This window comes from Homo sapiens, chromosome 2 (genome assembly GCF_000001405.40).
Source record: "Homo sapiens chromosome 2, GRCh38.p14 Primary Assembly".
NCBI classification, from domain to species: Eukaryota; Metazoa; Chordata; class Mammalia; order Primates; family Hominidae; genus Homo; species Homo sapiens.
Genome location: NC_000002.12, coordinates 74,758,795 through 74,780,750, shown reverse-complemented (window position 1 = coordinate 74,780,750; position 21,956 = coordinate 74,758,795). Strand labels below are relative to the sequence as shown.

Genomic DNA, 21,956 nt, shown 5'->3' with positions numbered 1-21,956 from the left:
CCAGAACACTGAGGCTGAATCCACATGACCACTGCTGGATTAGTGGAACACCTGCCTATCAAGCTCTCACCTGCCTACCAGGGTTTTCATCACTTCCCAGCTGCTTGAACCTTCTTGATGCTGACTGACCTACAGTGTGAACTTCTCTCATCACCAACTGTGAGAGTCTCCCTGCTGGGGCCACCTGCAATCCAGCCAGTCTGCTGGTCATGGCCATCCCTGTTCTGCACCAATATTCTGCCAATAAATGCCATTTTAGGTAGGTTTGCACAAAAATGAGTGTATTAGTCCATTTTCAGCCTGCTGATAAAGACATACCTGAGACTGGGCAATCTACAAAAGAAAGAGGTTTAATGGACTTACAGTTCCACGTGGCTAGGGATGCCTCATAATCATGGCAAAAGGCGAAAGTCACTTCTTTCATGGAAGCAGCAAGAGAGAGAATGAGAACCAGGTGAAAAGTGTTTCCCCTTATAAAACCATCATATCTTATGACACTTATTCACTACCATGAGAACAGTATGGGAGAAACCGCCCCCATGATTCAATTGTCTCCCACTGGGTGCCTCCCACAACACATGGGAATTATGGGGGTATAATTCAAGATGAGATTTGGGTGGGGACAGAGAGCCAAATCATATCAATGAGTTTTAGAAAGTGACAATACTTAGAGACAGGAGAAGGGCAAGAAGATATTTGGGTTGGGACCCCCTCCTAGGCACTCCATGGCACCTTCACAGCACTCATGACATCAACCTGTGGTTGGCCCACAAACCCCGCCCTCCACTGTATCCCCAGTGTCCAGCAGAGTCTGATTGCACTCATACAATCAGTATTTACTGAATAAATAAATGAAAAGTTGAAGAGTCAAGAAAGACCTAGAGGAAATGGATTTACTGAAGTGAAGGAAGGAAAGTTTCAAGAAAGCTAGGTGTGCTGTTCTTTGCCCCACCTCTTGCAGCATAGCTGTGGCATTCGGTAGGTGACGGTCACCTGGGAGAGGCTGGATGAGTGCCCATTTATTCCTGATGCTAAAGGACACTGTGAGGTCATGCCTGCTTGAGAAGTTTTCAATGATGGTCATTTTTTTTGTACTGAAAGACATTTCATAATGAGATAAGTGGCATCGTTGCCATAAAGGCTTGGAACTAATCAGATAACATAGTCTTAGTATATTCTGTTCGATTATTCAAGTGTACTTGACATTTACTTCTAATTCAGTGATTCACAGTTCTGGTGTGACTGCTTTCAAGTGTCTCTAATTATCTCAAGCGTGTCAACAGAGTCTCATAATGAAATGAATTTACATTCCCTTAATACATATTGCCAGGCCCCACCCAGACATAATTAATAGGAATCTCTGGGGTTGGGCCTAGAAATCTGCATTGTGTAATGCAGCTTGCATCTGCTTCTCAGATGATTCGGACGCAGCACTTTGGAATTATTGTTCTATTCCAGCCCTCTCACTTTCCAGATGAGCAAACTGAGCCAGGAGGATGGAAAACACTTGCCTAAGGTTATGCTGTGCCAGGATTAGGGCCAAAATTCAGGCCTCCTGACTCCGATTTCAGTGCTCTCTTAACTGTACCTCACTGCCTCGGAGTACCCAGGCCTGGTACAGCAAATCCAGCTCTGCCTGATTGCCCCTGAGCACCTCGCAGCCTGTGGGTGCAGGGAGGAGAGGGCAGCGGCTCTGGTGGAATGTAATCGCCGATGAGGGGCTTCTCCCACCAGAGCAGCAGAGCTGAGAGCTGTGAGCCACTACCCCACAGGTCGCTGGAAACCCTGGCATTCATCAGCTGTTTTCCCACCCGGGCTGCACTTGACTTCTCCCACCCCATTCACCAGCAACTCCTCCACAACTCTTTCCAGGGATGAGAAAAAGGAGGAGAGAAAGCCTCGCATGTATCTCCTAGAAACGGATGACACAAACAAAGGAACCTAGAGGTTGTGAGTGGAAAGGCCGCCTGGGCAGTTTCCATGGCAACGCCTCCATGCCTGCCGTAGCAGCTACGTGCTGCCTGGCATGTGCACTCTGCCAGGTCCCTGGAGGGCACTGCTGTCTCTCACTTGCTCAGGGTTCAGGAGTTGTTAATCCCGGATTCAGATAATAATATCCAAAGGCAATCAGGGGACATTGAACCAGCTGGAGCTGAAGGCTCCTCTCTGTGGGCCTTGGAAGGAGGGGCCTCTGCATTCCTCCGCCTGCCATAGGCTGGGCCTGCAGCAAGTGCTCAACTACAGTGGGAAGAATGGCTGAGTGAAGGAGAGACCCTCCCAGACTACAGTAAGTTCCTCTGCTGATAGAGGTGAGAGAAAAGCAGAGCCTGGAGTGGAGGAAGGGTAGGCCTTCCCCCAAATTATAGAGGACACACATTGATCATCAGATTGCTTTTAAGAGCCTCGCCTCTTTACTCCTCCCACACCAAGTGTTTGCTGCTCCCTTTCAACTGCAAACCACCAGTACTAAGACATCAGTAACCAAGTGTCACCTCTCCCAGGGTGCTGTGCTCCCCTCCCTCTGCAGAACCCTCCTTCCAAATCCCCCTGCCCCACTCCCCACACCCACTTTGAGAGGCATGCAGCCATGGACCACTGAGAGTGGGATTTCAAACACGAGTGATGAAAGTGATGTTAGGAAAGAGGAGGAGCTACAGTGGAGTCCTGCAAAGTATTTGCCATCACAGCCTGCAGCATCTTTAAACACATAACCTCAGTGTCTCCTTCCCTTGAGGGTAGCTATCACCATTGGAAAGAGCAAACAAATCTTGGGAACAAGGTAAGTAAATAAGCTGGATAATGCCAGATGGGATAAAGGCCTTCTCGCAGCACTGATGAAGTGCTAAGACTTAGGGTTCGTTTATTCATCTGTTTTTGTATTTGCAGGGTCGATTAAGTAATTTGAGAAACATTTCTTGAACTGTGTCCCATGACCAAGCACCCACTCAGGCCCTGGGGACTATGAAAAGTGCCCTGGGAGTAGGAGGGGGGTTCCAGTTCACTGGGGAGACAAACAGGCAACCATAGGATAGAACTGCTTACCCTCTTCCCACATAGTTTCAGACCTTGCTCACTGTCTAACGTCCTCAACCCACTGGCCCCTTCCCTTCTTCACTTCCTTCCGGCCCCCTGCTCAGGCTCCCAGTTGGTGAAAACCGCTAGAGAAAGCTTCTTAGCCACGCAGACTGCCAGCACCCAGGTTTATGGGGCCTTCAACAATAGCTGCTTTACCATTTTAACCACAGTCCTCATGCCCTCTTGGCCACCATCTCCTCCCTCACTAGGAGCAGATAACCTAACTAATATTTTCCATAGATAATAGAGGCCTTGAGGCAGGAGCTCCATCAACCCCACCCAGGGCCCTGGTTTTATCTCTTTAGGAATGAATCCTCCCCTTACCTCGTCCATCTCAGGGAAGGAGGTGTGTCTGCTTCTGCCCAAAGCTAATGCCTGCCTCCTCCTGATCCTGCCTTCCCTCTTGTCCTCCTCCTCAGATAACTGGCTCCATCAGCCTTTTCCTTTCTACTGCTGTTATCCCTCCATCACCTGAACATACTCAAGTCTTCCCCCAAGCGTTTAGCAAACAGCAGCAGAAACAACAAATGGTACTTCTTTTTTTTTTTTTTTTTTTCTTTTGAGGCGGAGTCTCGCTCTGTTGCCCAGGCTGGAGTGCAGTGGCGCGATCTCAGCTCACTGCAAGCTCCGCCTCCCGGGTTCACGCCATTCTTCTGCCTCAGCCTCCCGAGTAGCTGGGACCATAGGTGCCCGCCACCACGCCCGGCTAATTTTTTGTATTTTTAGTAGAGATGGGTTTTCACCGTGTTGGCCGGGATCATTTCGATCTCCTGACCTCGTGATCCGCACGCCTCAGCCTCCCAAAGTGCTGGGATTACAGGCGTGAGCCACCGCGCCCGGCCAACAAATGGTACTTCTAGATACCGTTTTATATGGTTCTGGCCCTCCCCGGTGAAGTTTTATTTAAAGAAAAAAGAATTATCTTGGAGAGATACATTCATGGGGTTTAAAAAAAAATAGAAAAAAAAAGCACACAGCGAAAAACGTCTTTATATCCCAGAGGCAACTTTTCTTGCTAGTTTCTTACATGCATAGAGTTATGTGATTATATAACCCTTCTCTTATTTACACTTGCTGTTTTCACATAGTGCCAATCATTCCATATTAGCATATATAGATTTTATTTCTTTAACATCCACAGAGTACCCCAAAGTATGTACTATGGACATACCAACATTTATTTGACAACTCTTCTATTAGTAGATGTTTGCATCCCCCTTTTGCTATTTCTTTTTATTTTTATTTTAAATGGAGTCTCCTTCTGTTGCCCAGGCTGGAGTACAGTGGCACCATCTTGGCTCACTGGAACCTCCGCCTCTGTGTTCAAGTGATTCTCCTGCCTCAGCCTCTCGAGTAGCTGGGATTACAGGTGCCCGCCACCACGCCTGGCTAACTTTTTATATTTTTAGTAGAGGCGGGATTTCACCATGTTGGTCAGGCTGGTCTCGATCTTCTGACCTCAGGCGATCCACCCGCCTTGGCCTCCCAAAGTGCAGGGATTACAGGCGTGAGCCACTGCACCTGGCCTGCTATTTCAAATAATTGCAATTAATCACCCTGTACATGTGTCATTTTGTATATGAATATTTTTGTATGATAAATTCCTAGATGTGGAATTATGGGATCAAGCTGTGTGTGCATTTGAAATTTCTACTGATATTCCCAAATGTGCCCACCATAGAAAATGCACCAATTTATACTCCCATCAGCAAATAATAAGAATGGCTCTTTCCTCAGGCCCTTACCAACAATTGAGTTATCCAACTTTTTTTTTTTTTTTTTGAGATGGAGTCATCTCTGCTCACTGCAACCTCCACTTCCCTCCCAGATTCAAGCAATTCTCCTGCCTCAGCCTCCCGAGTAGTTGGGGTTACAGGCGAGCACCACCATGCCCAGCTAATTTTTATATTTTTAGTAGAGAACGGGTTTCATCACATTGGCCAGGTTGGTCTCCAACTCCTGACCTCTAGTGATCCACCTGCCTTGGCCTCCCAAAGTGTTGGGATTACAGGTATGAGCCCCTGTGCCTGGCCCCAACTCTGTTTTTATACTTCTCAATCTAAGTGACAGTGATATTTTAGTGTAGTTTTATTTTCTCTTACATTTAGTGTGAATGGCTTTTTTCATATGTTTAAGAAACATTTATATTTTCTTTTCTGTGAACTGTTCATATCTGTTACCCATCTTTACATTGGGTTGCTCTTTTTCTTATTGATTCATGCAAGCTGTTTATATATAAGCCCCTTTTTATAATGAGTTACCTATTTTTTCCAATCTGTCATTTATATTTGGATTGTGCCTATGATGTTTTTTGTAATGCCATTTTTAATTGTGGTAAAATATACATAGCATGAAACACACCATTTAGCCACTTTTGAGTGTACAGTTTGATGGCATTAAGTATATTCACATTGCTGTGCAACCATCACCGCCATGCATCTCCAGGACTTTTCATCTTCCCAAACAGAAACTTTGTACCCATTAAACAATAATTCTCCACTACTGAATTTATCAGTTTTTTCTTTAGAACTTTTGAGGTTTATATCATACATAGAAAAGCTTTCTCCTTTCTCAGGTTTTAAAAAATCTGTCCCTTTTGTCGTTATGTCTTAGCCCTGGCTGCATTCCAATCAACAGGAACTTTAAAAAAATACCAATTTCTACTATGCAGCCATAAAAAAAGAATGAGTTTATGCCCTTTGCAGGGATATGGATGAAGTTGGAAGCCATCATCCTCAGCAAACTAACACAGGCAAAGAAAACCAAACACCTCATGTTCTCACTCATAGGTGGGAGTTGAACAATGAGAACACATGGACACAGGGAGGGGAACACCATACACCGGGGCCTGTCGGGGGGTGGGGGTCCAGGGGAGGGAGAGCATTAGGACAAATACCTAATGCAAGAAAATATAAACCTAGATGACAGGTTGATGGGTGCAGCAAACCACCATGGCACATGTATACCTATGTAACCTGCATGTTCTACACATGTATACCAGAACTTAAAGTTAAAAAAAAAAGTTCATAACGCATACTTAAAAAATACAAATTTCTAGCTTTACCTCCAGTGATTATGATTTAAATAGCTGTGGGGGGAAGTGGGGGCCAGTGGCAAACACTGGTAATTCTTTTTTTTTTTTTTTTTTTGAGATGGAGTCTCACTCTGTCGCCAGGTTAGAGTGCAGTGGTGCAATCTCGGCTCACTGCAACCTCTGCTTCCTGGGTTCAAGTGATTCTCCTGCCTCAGCCTCCCAAGTAGCTGGGACTACAGGTGCACGCCACCATGCCCAGCTAATTTTTGTATTTTTAGTAGAGACGAGGTTTCACCATGTTGGCCAAGATGGTCTAGATCTCCTGATTTCATGGTCCACCTGCCTCGGCCTCCCAAAGTGCTGGGATTACAGGCGTGAGCCACCGCGCCCGGCCTTAAACACTGGTAATTCTTTTTTTTTTTTTTTTTTTTTTTTTTTTTTGAGGCAGAGTCTCACTCTGTCGCCCAGGCCGGAGTGCAGTGGCGTGTTCTCGGCTCACTGCAAGCTCCGCCTCCAGGGTTCACTCACGCCATTCTCCTGCCTCAGCCTCCCGAGTAGCCGGGACTACAGGCGCCCGCCACCACGCCCGGCTAATTTCTTTTTGTATTTTTAGTAGAGACGGGGTTCCACCGTGTTAGCCAGGATGGTCTCGATCTCCTGACCTGGTGATCAGCCTGCCTTGGCCTCCCAAAGTGCTGGGATTACAGGCGTGAGCCACCACGCCAGGCCTAAGCACTGGTAATTCTTTTTTTTTTTTTTTAGAGACGGAATCTCGCTCTGTCGCCCAGGCTGGAGTGCAGTGGTGCGATCTCGGCTCACTGCAAGGTCCTCCTCCCGGGTTCACGCCATTCTCCTGCCTCAGCCTCCCGAGTAGCCGGGACTACAGGCGCCCGCCACCACGCCCGGGTAATTTTTTGTATTTTTAGTAGAAACGGGGTTTCACCGTGTTAGCCAGGATGGTCTCCATCTCCTGACCTCGTGATCCACCCGCCTCAGCCTCCCAAAGTGCTGGGATTACAGGCGTGAGCCACCGCGCCCGGCCAACACTGGTAATTCTTAAATAGACTCCCCAGTGATTCTAAAGCTCAGCCAGCATTGAGAATCACTGTTTTTGTATATTTAAGATTTCATCTTTTATAATTGTCTTTGATTTATCTGGAATTTGTACTAAGGTAAAATGCGATATGAAAATCAACTCCATGTATTTCCAAATGGCTTTTCAATCATTCCAATACCATTTAATAAATGTCAGTCATTCCAATACCAACACCGACTTCAAAAGAGAGAAATCTCTGCTCCCACCACTTAGTATCTGGGTGATTTGGGGCAAATTACTTAAACTCTTTTTGCTTCAGTTTCTTCATCTGTAAAATAAGGATAACGATAATACCTCTCAGAGTTATTGTGAGGACTGAAAAGCTAATACATTTAAAGCACTTTAAATAGTATCTGGGCCTCAGTAAAATGCTATATTGATATTTGGTACAATTATTTGTTTTGGTTACTACAAATGAAGATGTGTAAGTCAACGCATAGATATAATGAACTATCATATAATCATTACAAATTATGCTTTAAAAGAGTTTCGTTTCAGTGAAAGGATGATATGAAATTAACACATCTAGATAAAGTATGTATAAGTTAAACAAAGACTAAGTAAAGAAATATGCTAAAATATTAGCAATGGTTACATTCAGGTGACGGGAGTTCATGAAATCTTTTTTACTTTCTTCTTTAGTCTCTCCTATATTTCTCAGATTGCATACAATGAATATGTATTATTTATATTTAGGGAGAATAAGGAGGGGCTTAAAAATTGCTCAGTAGTCTGTTGATCTGGATTTCATCCCTCAGCGTGTATGCTGCCCTGCCCAGCACAATTTTATGTTCAGTTTGATGAGCCTGTTCTCTATACTGCATCCATGCCATGGAGAGCTTTCTCAGGGGTGATGGCCCAACATTAGGACTCTGCCTCCCAGATGGTATTAATGATATTTTCTGGGAAATTCTAACCCAGCTTTTGCCCTTGCTTCCAGCCTGCATTATGCTGTGGCTTTATCAATCAGTTTATGAAAGATCTTATCAAAAGCCTCGCAAAATGCCCTATTCATTCAGTCAACAAATATTGATTGAGTCTCTATTATGCCCCAGGCCTTGTGCCTATCATATTTTCTTAATAAATGAGTCTAGAAACAATGTCAAAGAAAGAAAAAGGTCAAGCAGACATACTTTGTTTTTAAAATCTCAGGCTGAATGCCAGTAATTGCTGCTTTTCCAAAAGTCTCCCAAACTTTATTGTTATTATTTTAAATAATCTAGTCTAGAATCTTGTCTGGGACTGAAGCCAAACTCAGTAGTGGTATTTTGAGCAAGCCATCTTCTGTGGTCTTTGGGGATCCAGATGACTTTTATTTAGCTCTCTTCTTCCAAGACTTCTGGTATTGCCCTAAAATGTCTCAAAGACATTGGGCCATTCCTCTGTTCTGCAAACTTTCCAGTAACTGAGATGTAATTCCTTTGTACCTAGAGACTAGAACTCAAAGAGAGCAGAAAAATCCTGTTTTCTTGTCTTGGCACTAGTGTGGGAGAGGGTCAAGGGGTCTTCAGACACTTTTAATGTTCTAGAGAAAATATCTCCTACTTCACTCAAATCCCTTGCAAGTATAAACTTCCAAATACCATTGAAAATACATATTTTTAAAATAAAATCTGAAAATAAAACAGATCTGTTCTTTCCTAATGCAAAAAGGACTGCCAGAAACTGGTAGAGAATAAATACTTCAAAGAGCTGAATGGTGATTATTTGAATGAATGACAAACGAAGAAATGAGTGAGTACTCTATGGTGTCACAGAGTAGGTCTGTCTATAACTACATATGATAGATGCCAACCATAGGAAACTACTTTCCATTTTAGAAGTTAGAAGGGAATTAGATGCATGACCCAAAGTTCTTTTTAAAAGCAGTCCAGAGACATTTAAAATAATGCTGTCTTTAATATGGTGTCTCAGTGTAGCAAGTAGAATGTTTTCCAGGGTTCATTCTTTTTCGGCAGCACCTATTTTAAATGCATAGCTTGAAATTTGTGAGACCTTAGAGAGCAAGAGTTTCTTAACTATTGTTTAACTTCTCAAAATAATTCCAGAACTTTGACTTTCTTTCCTTCTTTCTTTCTTTTTCTTTTTCTTTCTTTCTTCCTTCCTTCTTTTTCCTTCCTTCCTTCCTTTCTTCCTTTTATTCTTTTTTTTTTTGAGATGGAGTCTCACCCTGTCACCCAGGCTGGAGTGTGGTGGCGTGATCTCAGCTCACTGCAACCTCCGCCTCCCAGGTTCAAGCGATTCTCCTGCCCCAGCCTCCCGAGTAGCTGGGATTACAGGCGCGTGACTCCATGCCTGGCTAATGTTTGTATTTTTAGTAGAGATGGGGTTTCACCATGTAGGTCAGGCTGGTCTCAAACTCCTGACCTCGTGATCTGCCCCCCTCGGCCTCCCAAAGTCCTAGGATTACAGGCATGAGCCACAGTGCCTGGCCCGTTTTATTCTTTTTCTTTCTTTCGAGACAGGAACTTAATCTGTCATTCGTGCTGGAGTGCAGTGGTGTGATCACAGCTCACTACAGCCTTGACTTCCCAGGCTCAGGTGATTCTCCCACCTCAGCTTTCCAGGTAGCTAGGATTACAGGTATGTGCCACCATGTCCAGCTAATTTTTTTAATACATATTTTTTGTAGGGATGGAGTCTCACTATGTTGCCCAGGCTGGTCTCAAATTCCTGGGCTTAAGTGATCCACCTTCCTGGGCCTCCCAAAGTGCTGGGATTACAGGCATGAGCCACCGCACCTGGGCTAGAACTTTGATTTCTAAGAATGGTTCTCAAATTTGAACAGACTTCAAAATCCTCTGGAGGGCTTGTTAAAATATAGATTGCTGTGCCCACCCCAGGCTCTCTGATTCAGCAGGTGCAGCCAGGGAGTTTGAACTTCTCTCAAGCTCCCAAGTTAGGCTGTAGGCCTAGCACTAGTTTTAAGAACCTGTGCTCCATAACACACTGGGGAGCTGCAGTGAGCACTTGGACAGGCAACAAACAGATTTCAAACACAGATTTTTTTTTACCTTTGGTTTCTATAGGTCACTGCTGCACGTTTTAATAGGCTCTCATTTTTACATACTATACTAATGACTATAAATATCTATTTCCTAATACATAAAAATGTTCACAGCATCTCTGGAGCGGTAATATGATGTGTGTTTTCATTGTCTTCTTTTTGTCTTTCAACTTTTTTTTGAGACGGAGTCTCGCTCTGTCGCCCAGGCTGGAGTGCGGTGGCGTGACCTCGGCTCACTGCAAGCTCCGCCTCCCAGGTTCATGCCATTCTCCTGCCTCAGCCTCCCAAATAGCTGGGACTACAGGCGGCCGCCACCAGCCCAGCTAATTTTTTTTTGTATTTTTAGTAGAGACGGGGTTTCATCGTGTTAGCCAGGATGGTCTTGATCTCCTGACCTGGTGATCAGCCTGCCTCAGCCTCCCAAAGTGCTGGGATCACAGGTGTGAGCCACCGTGCCCAGCCTTGTCTTTCTACATTTTATAAGTGGTTTGTCTTGAGCATATATAACCTTTATAATCAGAAAAAAATCTAAAGGCTAACAAAAGAAAGAAAACGTGGTAAGGGACAGTCTTGTTGGAAAGCTTGATATTTCTATCACTAGCTACACAGAGAACCAAGGGGGAAAGCATGAACATAGCAGCTAACATACTTCATGAGTGAGTCCAGTGTACTCCATTCTCACTGCATCAATTCAATTCACCTTCTGTAACCCTGAGGAGATGGGTACCATCATCTTCATCTTCATCATCCTCTTCATCAGCATCATCATCCTCTGCTTTTAACAGATGAGTAAACTGATGCACCTGGCTGGTAACTAGAAAAGCCAGGATTTGGACCCAGGAGTTTCAACTTCCATGTTAGCGTGCTTAACCCCACGTTACAAACCTTCCTGAGCATGTGAGACCATTGTCCCATCCTCCAGCAGAGAAGATCTTGGACAGCAGCTTTCCCTCACATTCTCTCATCTAAATGCTTTATGGATAGTCATTCATGCAGAAGCCTGGGTCTCCAGCAAGGGCTGGCATCTGCCCATCCTAATTTTTGTTTTAACCTGGTGAAAATGGGAGGAGAGTTATATGCACTGATGTTTCATTTAGGTAAAGGGTGCAATGTTGCAATCCATGAAGATCCTAACGCAAGAAAGGAGAAGAAGACTCTAAATATGAAGGTGATGCTCTACCGGACATATGAGTACCACAGGATTGTGGAAATCTGTGCTCCTCCAGCCTAGAGTCCCGACCCCATGAGCACAAGGAGATCCAGAGGGAAACCCTCCCCAGCTTTCCTGGAAAGCTGAGGATAAGGCCTCAATAAACATTTATTAGGGGCAGTTGTAGGCCACATTGTACCAGACACTTTACATACATTTTCTCTAATTCCCAATGCCCTCCAAAGTAGATCATTATCCTCTTCTCCACTTCACAGATAAGAAACTGTAGCACAGATAGGGTAAGTCATTTGCCCGTGGTCAGACAGCAAACAGGTCCCAGAGCTGGGGTTTCAACTACAATTTGAACCATGGTCTGCTACTCCAAAGGCCAAGCTCATCCTATGGCCCTGCCTTCTAGGTATATTGAGTGGCTTTCAGTTATCTGCTTTCTGCAGCACAGTCAGAAGTTGGTAGGGAGGAAGGCAAAGAACCAGGACTGACTGCAGCCTAATGATCTGCCTGGGGCTGGGATCTGGGGTCGGGGTATGAGGGTGGCAGCCCCAGAGCAGCTTGGGGTGGGAAGAATAGGACCAAACTGTAAGTGTGTGGGAGACGGAAGCAGAGGAGATGGGGAACCACAGCGCCTGCACTATCTTAGCCTTCTCAGGCCAGGCCAGCTGACTGGGCAGCCTTTGGCCTCACCCAGAAAGAGGGAGGGGAGGGTTCCTTTAACAGAATATGGATTGGAATCCCCAACCCTCCCCCCCACCACCCCCGACACCTAAGGCCTGTTAAGGCCAGGGCTGAGGCCCCAGGGTACACCCACCCTCAGGGCTGCCAGCTACTAGGTCCTCACTAGACAATCTTTTTTTTTTTTTTAGCTTCTAGACCTAAAAATAGGTCAAAGGAGTGGAGAGGGGAGGAAATAGCTAGACTCAAAATAATGTGTGGAATGATAAGCAAAGCTTACTGTGCATGAAATCTGGGTAGAGAAAACTATGTGGCCTTTTCTTTTTCAACATTTCCCATAGACGGTAAATTTGAAGTAAAAACATTGTTACTAAAATATAAAAATATTATAAAAGCTGTACTATCATTGTGTATTACCCATTTAAACATAAAGTAGTGAAGTTTTTAAAAATTAAATATATTCCTGGATCCCCCATCCCCCATACTTATATATTTGGGACAACAGCATCTGAGTGCCCTTTAACTGACTGGCAGCTCTGGGGTCCCCAACACTTTCATCTTCCCCTATCCCTCCAAAGCTTAGAGACCAGTCCATTGTTAACTTCAAACCACCTCAAAGCTGACTTTCCAAGTTCAGTTTCTTGTAGAATTTTTTTTTCATGATTTTTTGGGTTTATTTTATTTTTAATTTGAAAACCACTAACCTGTTTCTATGAGGGAAAATGTGCTTCAAGTTCCAGACCACACACTTTTAGGACACGATCTGTTCCTACTGCAGGTAACAGAACGACATAATCAATGAACTGGTATCAACTACTGCAAGAGGCAGTGAAACAGAACCTAGCCTCCCAACTCAGACATCAAAAGCATTCCACACTCCAGAGTAGCTGATGTTATGATTCCCTTTATCCTCTTTCAACTAAACACATCTATTCATGTTTTATCAATGATTTATCCAGCCCCTGCTATGAGCCAGCCACAAAGCCTGGCATTAGGAAGACTGAGATGAATAAGCTGAGGATGGTCAGCTTTGTGGGAAAGATGGATGGGGAAGCCAGTGAGCTCTCTTTAGTAGGGAGGGTGTGCAAAGAGACAGGGGGTCTCCAAGGGGAATGGCCCAGCTTCATGAAGAAGGTAATGCATAATTGAGACTCAAAAGATGAGTAAGTATTGGGAGTAGGGATGATTCTAAAGCATAGAGCACAAGCCTGGAAAGACACGACAACAAACCACAGGTGCCAGGTGGATCCACTAGACACCTGCCACCCCAACTTCCCCTTCACATGGAAAGGGCCATGGCCACAGGCCCCTAACCAGGTGAACTGGGACAGGTTGGCCTTCTACAAGAGTGGCTACTGATTGGATGAGTGGGCACCTAACCCAAAGACTCAGGCTGGCTGAGGTACCCGATGAGGTTTTCAATACCAGTGACAGTAACTAAATCAGCCAACCAACCTGGCTCCCTCTGGCATTTATGCAGAAGAATATCAGGAATTTGGCTGGTACGTGAAGAGTCAAGTGCACAGAATTAAGGACAGCAGACTAGACTAGGCACTAGACACTACATCTGCCTCCGCCTCTGCCTAAACTTTGAGTTCTCCTTTGAAGCTGTTCTGCATAACAAATCACCACAAAACCTAGTGGCTTATTATAATAATAATAATTTTATCTCTCACAATTTTCACAAGTCAGGAATTTGGGAAGGGCTCAGCGGGGTGGTTCTGGCTCAGGGTTTCTCAGGCAGTTGCAGTCAGGTGGTGGCTGGAGCTAGAAGAGCAGGGAGCTGGAGCATCCGAGGACTGGTGGGGTGTCTCTGCCTCTCATTACATCCCCTCAGAACTTCTCCATGGTGTCTCTCCTGATGGGCTAGTTTGGGCTTCCTCACAGCATGGTGCCTTCAGGGTAGCCTGCTTGCATGGCAGCTGAGGGCTTCCAGCTGAGAGTTGCAGCAAGCAAGGTAGGAGTTGCATTGCCTTTTTTGACCTAGCCTCAAAAGTCATTTGGCATCATTTCCACCTACTGTCTTGGTTGACCTGGTCACAAAGCCCAATCTATTTCCTTTTTTTTATTATTTTTAATTTTTGTGGGTACATAGTAGGTATGTATATTTATGGGGTACATGAGATGTTTTGATATAGGTATGCAGTGTGAAATATAAGCACATCATGGAGAATGGGGTATCCATCCCCTCAAGCATTTATCCTTTGAGTTACAAACAGTCCAATTATACTCTTTATTTAAAAATGTATAGGGTTTTTTTTTTTTAAGACTGAGTTTTGCTCTTGTTGACCAGGCTAGAGTACAGTGCGGGATCTTGGCCCACTGCAACCTCCGCCTCCTGGGTTCAAGCAATTCACCTGCCTCAGGCCTCCCAAGTAGCTGGGATTACAGGCCTGTCACCATGCCCAGCTAAATTTTTTGTATTTTTAGTAGAGATAGGGTTTCATCATGTTGGCCAGGCTGGTCTCAAACTCCTGACCTCAGGTAATCCACCTGCCTCAGCTTCCCAAAGTGCAAGGATTACAAGCATAAGCCACCACTCCCAGCCAGTTATTATTGACAATAGTCACTCTCTTGTGCTATCAAATAGTAGGTCTTATTCATTCTTTTTAGTTATTTTTTGTACCCGTTAACCATCCCCATCTCCCCTTCCATCCCCAACTACCCTTCCCAGCCCTAATCCATTTTCAAGCCCACCTCCTTTTTTTTTTTTGAGATGGAGTTTCACTCTTGTTGCCCAGGCTGGAGTGCAATGGCACGATCTCGGCTCACAGCAACCTCCGCCTCCCAGGTTCAAGCAATTCTCCTGCCTCAGCCTCCCAAATAGCTGGGATTACAGGCATGCACCACACACCCGGCTAATTTTGTATTTTTAGTAGAGACGGGGTTTCTCCATGTTGAGGCTGGTCTCAAACTCCTGACCTCAGGTGATCTGCCCGCCTCAGCCTCCCAAAGTGCTGGGATTACAGGCATGAGCCACCGTGCCCAGCCTTCAAGCCCACCTCCTAATGGAAAGAAAGTAAAAAAGATGTGGACATATTTTTAAACTTCCACACAATCTCAGCTCAGCCTTACACTGAAACTCCATTTTCCATTTTCTTTAGGTGAAGTGTTTAGGTGAAGATTGGGATTGAATCTCTGTTCCACGCACATTAGGCAAGCTACAGTTAGCTCAGCAGGGCTGGGGCACAAGGTATGAGCACAGCACAAAAAGAAAAGTCTAGAGAAGTAGGCAAAGGTCTTCCATGTCAGGCTAGGAGTCTGGGCTTTTTCCTACAAGTGTCCACTCTTCCTTCCAGAACAAATAGGGACAGTTACAGGTGACTTCCATAACTAGGTAGCCTCTAGAACAGAGACTGGAAACAGGTGGCCCACAGCAGAAGGCACCCATACAATACTCCTTAGCTTAGAAAGTTTCTTACCAAAAAAAAATCAGCATTTCTGGCTTCTCTTGAAAAATTAGAAAACCTGGTCATAGTGGACTCTCATTCTTGCATGGATGCAAATAGGGGAGAGAATAGCAGCCGTCTTCAAATAGGATGTATGCTCTTGGCTTAGCCAGAGTTTCCACAATTTCCTGTTGCATCACAGTTGTCTTGTTTCATTATTTATCTTATTTTCACAGTAGACACTTGAGTTTGTGACCCTTGATCTCAGGCTTCCTATGGGCAAGAGCTCTGCTGGAGTCGGGCTAACAAACCCCCCTCTCATTTCACACTCAGCGAAGAAATGGAGACATATTCTCTCTTCATTCAAAGCATAGTTTGCTTCAACTTTGTAAACACTGTATGCAAACATGTTCTCAATCATTTTCAAAGAGAAACCTTGTGCTTGGAGTCATCTCATTTGCTGAACTGGATTTGGTCAATTTGTTTAGAGCAAGTGAAAACAATTGCATACCTTGCAAAGTGTAAATCAGGCACAGGGTCACTTCCTGCAGGGGAAGGTCCCTCAGCTGCCTTTGTGAGCCAGCATCTCAGCCTGATGGCTGGGCTGATTAGCCCACAGGTGATTTCAGTCAATCATAACACATAAATGCCCAGTTTAGATGTAAATCACTGAGTGATATGTAGTTTCACCTCACAGGAAGTGGCTCGTTATACTCCTCTTCAACTCTACAAATCCTACCCTTTCTTCAAGCCGCAAATCCAGTCCCAGCTTCTTCTGAAAGCCTTCTTCAATGACTCTAGTTGTGTAGACAGGGCTTGCTACCCAGGACAGCCTCTGTGCTGGCTTTGTGCCTGCATTTCTAAGTCTCTTTATCCCAGCTCCCTCCTCTCTGTGCCTCATCTCCCACTGGGCTCCCTTTCAGCCCACAGCTTGCCTTAACTTTGTCCCCAGATGGCTGCAACCCTCATTTTCCTGGCAGCCTGATGTCCTGTCTGGCTAAGTCAGGTCAGCCCCCACAAGGCCTGTTCCTCCCTGCTGGGTAGCTCTGGGGCCAGAACTGCACTCCTCTCCCCACCTGATCTTCCAGACAGCTTGCCTTAACTTTGTCCCCAGATGGCTGCAACCCTCATTTTCCTGGCAGCCTGATGCCTCTCTGGCTAAGTCAGGTCAGCCCCCACAAGGCCTGTTCCTCCCTGCTGGGTAGCTCTGGGACCAGAACTGCACTCCTCTCCCCTTCTGATCTTCCATAAATGCCTATTCCTGTGTCTATATCAGAGACACTGATACCAGGGAGAGGGTGAGGGAGTGAGAAGAGCAAAAAGAATAGATTCTTGGGAGGCAGATGCAGAACTAGACAAAGGAAACTCCAGCTAGGGGCTGGCTGACATAGACCTTTGTGTCTTCACTCAAGATTGAAAATGAATGACTACAGACATGTAGGCACATAAGTGGCCACCAGTGGTCCACACCTATTTTTCTATTCAGATTGTATCTTCAGATTTGAGAAGAGCATTCCTGAAGGAAGGAGTCAACATGACAAGGTAGACAGTCGGAGGAAGCAAGTAGGAGAAGTATCACCATTAGGAATAAAAATAACAAGAGGACAGTGGAGGTCTCAGAACTGTTCATGAGAGAGAATCAAAAGCAACAAAGGGTGAGACAGCCGGATGCTTCTTTGTGTTGATTGGTAACTGTCCATAGGCATCTTAGCCCAAACATTTAAAATGAAGCACTATTATAATTTAGGGTATACAGACAGGGAAACAACAGACATGGGGATCATGCAGGCCACTGAAGGCTTTGTAAATACTTGTTAACTCTCCTTGCTTATTGATTTTGTGCTAGTTATAGGAAGTCTTAGCTTTATAAGTCAAGTTTTCATCAAGGAGCTCAGGAGATAGAAAGCTTCATGCTTGAAATAAAGTAACCTGATAATTTAATTGCTGCAAGAAATGACCAAAATTTGATTCATGTGTCTAATACATAATGAACATTGAATAATATTGCAGACATGTTAAAACTGTATAGGCAAGATGGTCATTGAGATCATATCAGATAACATCCTAGGTAATGGTTAAATACTGCCTATTATCAATAATTACACATTACACATGCATTAGATGACTTTCTAATATCTACTAAAGGCCTACTACGAGCTATATGTTGGGGCTGCAATGCTGAGTAAGAAAGACACAGTCCCTGACGTTATGGTCATTACATTCCAGGGTTAGTTACCTTCAACTGAAGGTAGTAACATTCATATCTCAGGGGACATTTACACATGTGGAGCACTTTTAGGTGCACACTGAGGACCCCACTGGCCTTTGGCTGACAGGACCACAGATACTAAACACTCTACAGTGTGTGGGCTTGGACTAAAAGGCCAACAGCAGCCCCATCAGGAAATACTGGTAGTGCAAGATATATCTCGCCATGTTTAGAGGCAGGGTTTTTTTTCATAATAACAAGACCAAGTACATAATGTTTATTTGTAAAGTATAATTTTTTCCAATTCTTCTATGGTATTCCTTTTTAAATCTCATAGAACTCTTGTCTTCTAAGTTTCACACTTTAGAAAACCTCTAGAGATTAAGAGCAGACACTGCTAGGTTTGAATCTCAACTCTAGCACTTAAAATTTCTGACCTCCAGAAAGGGACTCAACATCTCTGAGCTTCCTAACACGAGGCAGATAATGGCTGGCTCACTGAGACATTGTTGGTGTTGTCAGGAGGACTAAAGGCAGCAAGGTCTATAAGTTGCCTTGCACAGTGTCTGGAAATCTGGATGTTACGAGGAGGTGGCCATTGTAGACAATGTGGCCCAAGCAGTTTGGGTGTGGGAAATGACGATGTAATGGGTGGAGGGGAAATTAGGGACAGGGCATGGCTTCTTGAAGAATACAGACACCTGAGACACTGAAGGGCAGAGAAAATTGAGAAAGGGAGAAGGGGAGAAGGACAACAGGTGAGATGGAGGACGATGGGGAAGTGATCCAGGTGAGAAGATCTGGAAGGCATTATTCCTATCCCATTGCAATCTGAGGACTGACTCAGCTCCCACACAGATTCTCCTGAGCAAACAGATCTCTCTTGATACCTCCTCCTCCTTTTTTTTTTTTTTTTTGTTGTTGTTGTTGTTTTTGTTTTGAGATGGAGTCTCACTCTGTCACCCAGGCTGTAGTGCAATGGCGCAATCTCGGCTCACTGCAACCTACACCTCCCAGGTTCAAGCGATTCTCCTGCGTCAGCCTCCTGAGTAGCTGGGATTACGGGCGCAACCACCATGCCCAGCTAATTTTTATATTTTCATTAGAGACAGGGTTTAACCATGTTGGTCAGGCTGGTCTCGAACTCCTGACCTTGTGATCCGCCCGCCTCGGCCTCCCAAAGTACTGGGATTACAGGTGTGAGCCACCACGCCTAGCCACCTCCCCCTACTTCTATCCTTCATCTCCTTTGTGAATCCAGTGCCAGTCCCAGAGGAGACACACAAACCCATTTTCTTGGTCTCATGTGGTCCTGCTTCAGACTGATTCTTCCTCTCCTGGAGGGAGAGGGCAGAATCTGACCAACGTCTAGCCAAACCCTTTTCCTAGCCTCTCTTGGAGGTCATCTCAGGGCCCCATGCTCATTGTGAGGTCAGGAGCAGGGACAAGAACAGGGAGTCTAAGCACATGGAGAATTGGCTTCTACTCAGCGGTTTTATTTGTTTGTTTGCTTGACAATGTTAACTATCTTGACAAGAATTCTGCAAAGTTACTTCAGACCACTTCCTTGGGCAGAAGGCTGTGTCTTGGCCTGAGTTCCCCACACTGGCCATGAGTAGTGTTCTCATGTTCTGGAGGCAATTCGTGTGCCAGTTGCATAATAAAGAGTGGTACTTTGGGTCAAGGAGGAGGCAGAGCCATGGCAAAGACTGTTTCTTGGCACTGATCCCCATGCAGGCCATTGAAGGCTTTGTAAATACTTGTTGACTCTCCTTTCTTATTGATTTTGTGCTAGTTGTAGTAAGTCCCAACTTTACAAGTCAAGTATTCGTTCCACCCGCACTTTAATAAAAGGCAACATCCCCCATTACCCTCATCCTCTTTGCCTCCTTCCCCATAAAAAATATTCAGAAATAGGGTAAGAGTTGCCCCTGTTTTGGTCTCACCCGTGCTTTTCTTTCATTCTCAGTGTCCTGTCCAGGCACTTCCCTGGAGCTCTCTGAGAAGGTGAGTTACAGCTCCCAGTCATGGCCAGTAGAGCATGTCTCTGTCCTGTGCTTTTGGACATTACTTTTTTTTTTGGCAGGTTTTCTTGGCTGAATTTTGGCATCTGTCCCTGGCTAAATGCTGAGCTCTCCAATTGGTCCCCTTGATCGATACATGTGGGGTGATTGAACTGTGGTGTCATTTAGGTTGTTTAGAAAAGACAAAACTAAAGCCATGCAACTATTCCTCCTTTTCCATAGTCACACTCTGGAATTAATGGTCAAGCAACATTATTTATAGAAGAACCTAGGCCTTTCATATTGATAGGATCTCCAAAACCTATCTTTCCATGCAAAATTTTATCCTTCCATTTGTGCTATGGATTCAGTAATCAGGGAGGCAGTAACCACTCTCTTCAGGAACAAGTGCTGTGATAGATTAATGATGTCTGTCCTGAAAGCAGAATGGGGAAGCGGCAACATGCATGCCATGTGTTTGTCATTCCTGGTCTATAACCAACTGGATTATGGAATTGCTATTTCTATTACTCCTAGGGTCAGAGGTCAGCCCAGTGTATCTGTCCTTGGAAACTACAATTACCTTTGAAAGAAATCTGTTTCTACCTGGATGACTATATCCCATATCTTCATGCCACTCAACTTCTTGTATTCAATCAAGAAATATGTATTGAGCCCCAGCTATGTGCCAAATACTATTCTAGGACAAAATAGCAGTGAAGAAGAAAAAAAAGATCCTGCCTTCATGGATCAGAGTTCCTACAACAGGAAGGCAAACAATAAACAAACAAATACATACATAAGAGGTAATAGTGTTTTGAAGAAATGGACATACCAATGGGATAAAGAGTGACTAAAAAGGATTTTGTTGTTTGTTTTTAAGATGAGACATTATGACATGTTTGTAAAACAGCAGAATTGCTGCACAGAATGAGAAATTGGTGACTCAGAAAAGAGAGGGGATAATTACAGCAACACCAAGATGCCCATTTCTCTTCTAAACACTCTTTCTGTACCAGAGAGCAGTTTTCTCTCTAATTGATCCCTTTGCAGTCTGTGGCCATCAGCTTTTCTGTGCCTCCAGGGTTGTTTTTCCATCATAAATGCCATGCCTGTCAGCTTCTCAGGAAAGGTCAGGCCTCAGAACATGACATACCCTTGTATCAAGCACCTTCATATAAGTTTAGCTATTTTTCCACTCTCTGGACTACTTGTGTGTTCTTAATGTCAGTTTGAGTGTCTCTTATTCTGTCACCAAGGATTAGCTTCCTTCTCTCATATTTCTTCAAGGGGATCCATTTTCATATTTTCTTCTCTCAAATAATCTTCTCCATCCATTTTTGGCAGGAATAGCAGAGACAATTTTCAGCAAACTATTATGGTCATATAGTATTCATTTTTCCCCGTAGCAAGTGAGGGAGCAATTCCTATAACACCAAATCCCCAAAGTTATGGTCGGCTACTCATCTCTTCCATGAGCTCCTTTAAAAATATGCAAATGTAAAGTGTTTGTCACTACAGGACTTTGGGCCCAAATCCTCACATGGATTTGCTAAACATTGTGAGCTCAGCCGGCTAAACATGAACCATAATGAAATTTTTGGATCTCCTAGCCCAAAGCCTAGAATAAATCCAGGCCTAAACTTAATCCTGGGATAAACTTAATCTTGGCTCAATTAATAGTGTATTTTTCTACATTCTAGAGCATAGTTGGCCAGGGCCTACCCCAGGCCAGAGAGCCTTTCATTAAGTGAACTGCCCTAGAGGAAGAGGACCAAGTACCAGGAGGGCTCAAAAGAAAGAATCTCAAGAAATATCAACAGGAAAAAGGAACTAACGCAGGAAAGATTTTAATCCCTCACTGATTCTACCACTGTAGCCCGCTTGTCTCCCTGACTTTGAACTCTCTCAAAGCTCCTCCTCTTTTCCTCCTCCTCTTCTCTTTCTTTCTGCTCTTCCCTCTCCTCTTCCAAAGTGTGTGTGGCAAGGTCTGACAGGGAAGTTCATTGGCTCTTGTAGAGATATGAGTATGCCTTCGACATAAAGCTGACAGACTGCAATTGATAGAACAATCAAATGTCCAACTACTGAATGTTACTTCTTTAGCAATCCCTCCCAAAAGGGTCATTCATATTTTCTTACCCTTACATTCTAGCTCTGAGATTATGGTCTGGATCCCTGAGACTTGCGCCTCCTCCCAAGGCACTTGTTTGTGATTCTTCAATGGAGGAATAGGTAGGAAGAGTTCTTTAGGCAGCCAGATACAAAATAAGCTCATTTAGAAACCTTCTATTTTCTATGGG

General features: G+C 44.5%; 1 long non-coding RNA gene across 3 annotated transcripts in view; it reads left to right on the top strand.

Moving 5' to 3' along the window:
• The first annotated feature begins 1,994 nt into the window (after positions 1–1,994).
• The window catches only part of LOC102724482 (uncharacterized), a 28,584-nt gene continuing 8,622 nt past the window's right edge, over positions 1,995–21,956 (top strand). Inside the window, exon 1 of one of the 3 annotated variants that reach the window (XR_427046.4) lies at positions 1,995–2,287. This is a non-coding gene — a long non-coding RNA (uncharacterized LOC102724482). Of the gene's footprint in view, positions 2,780–21,956 lie in introns of all 3 variants that reach the window. The other 2 variants (XR_940249.3, XR_940248.3) reach the window with 2 other exon arrangements.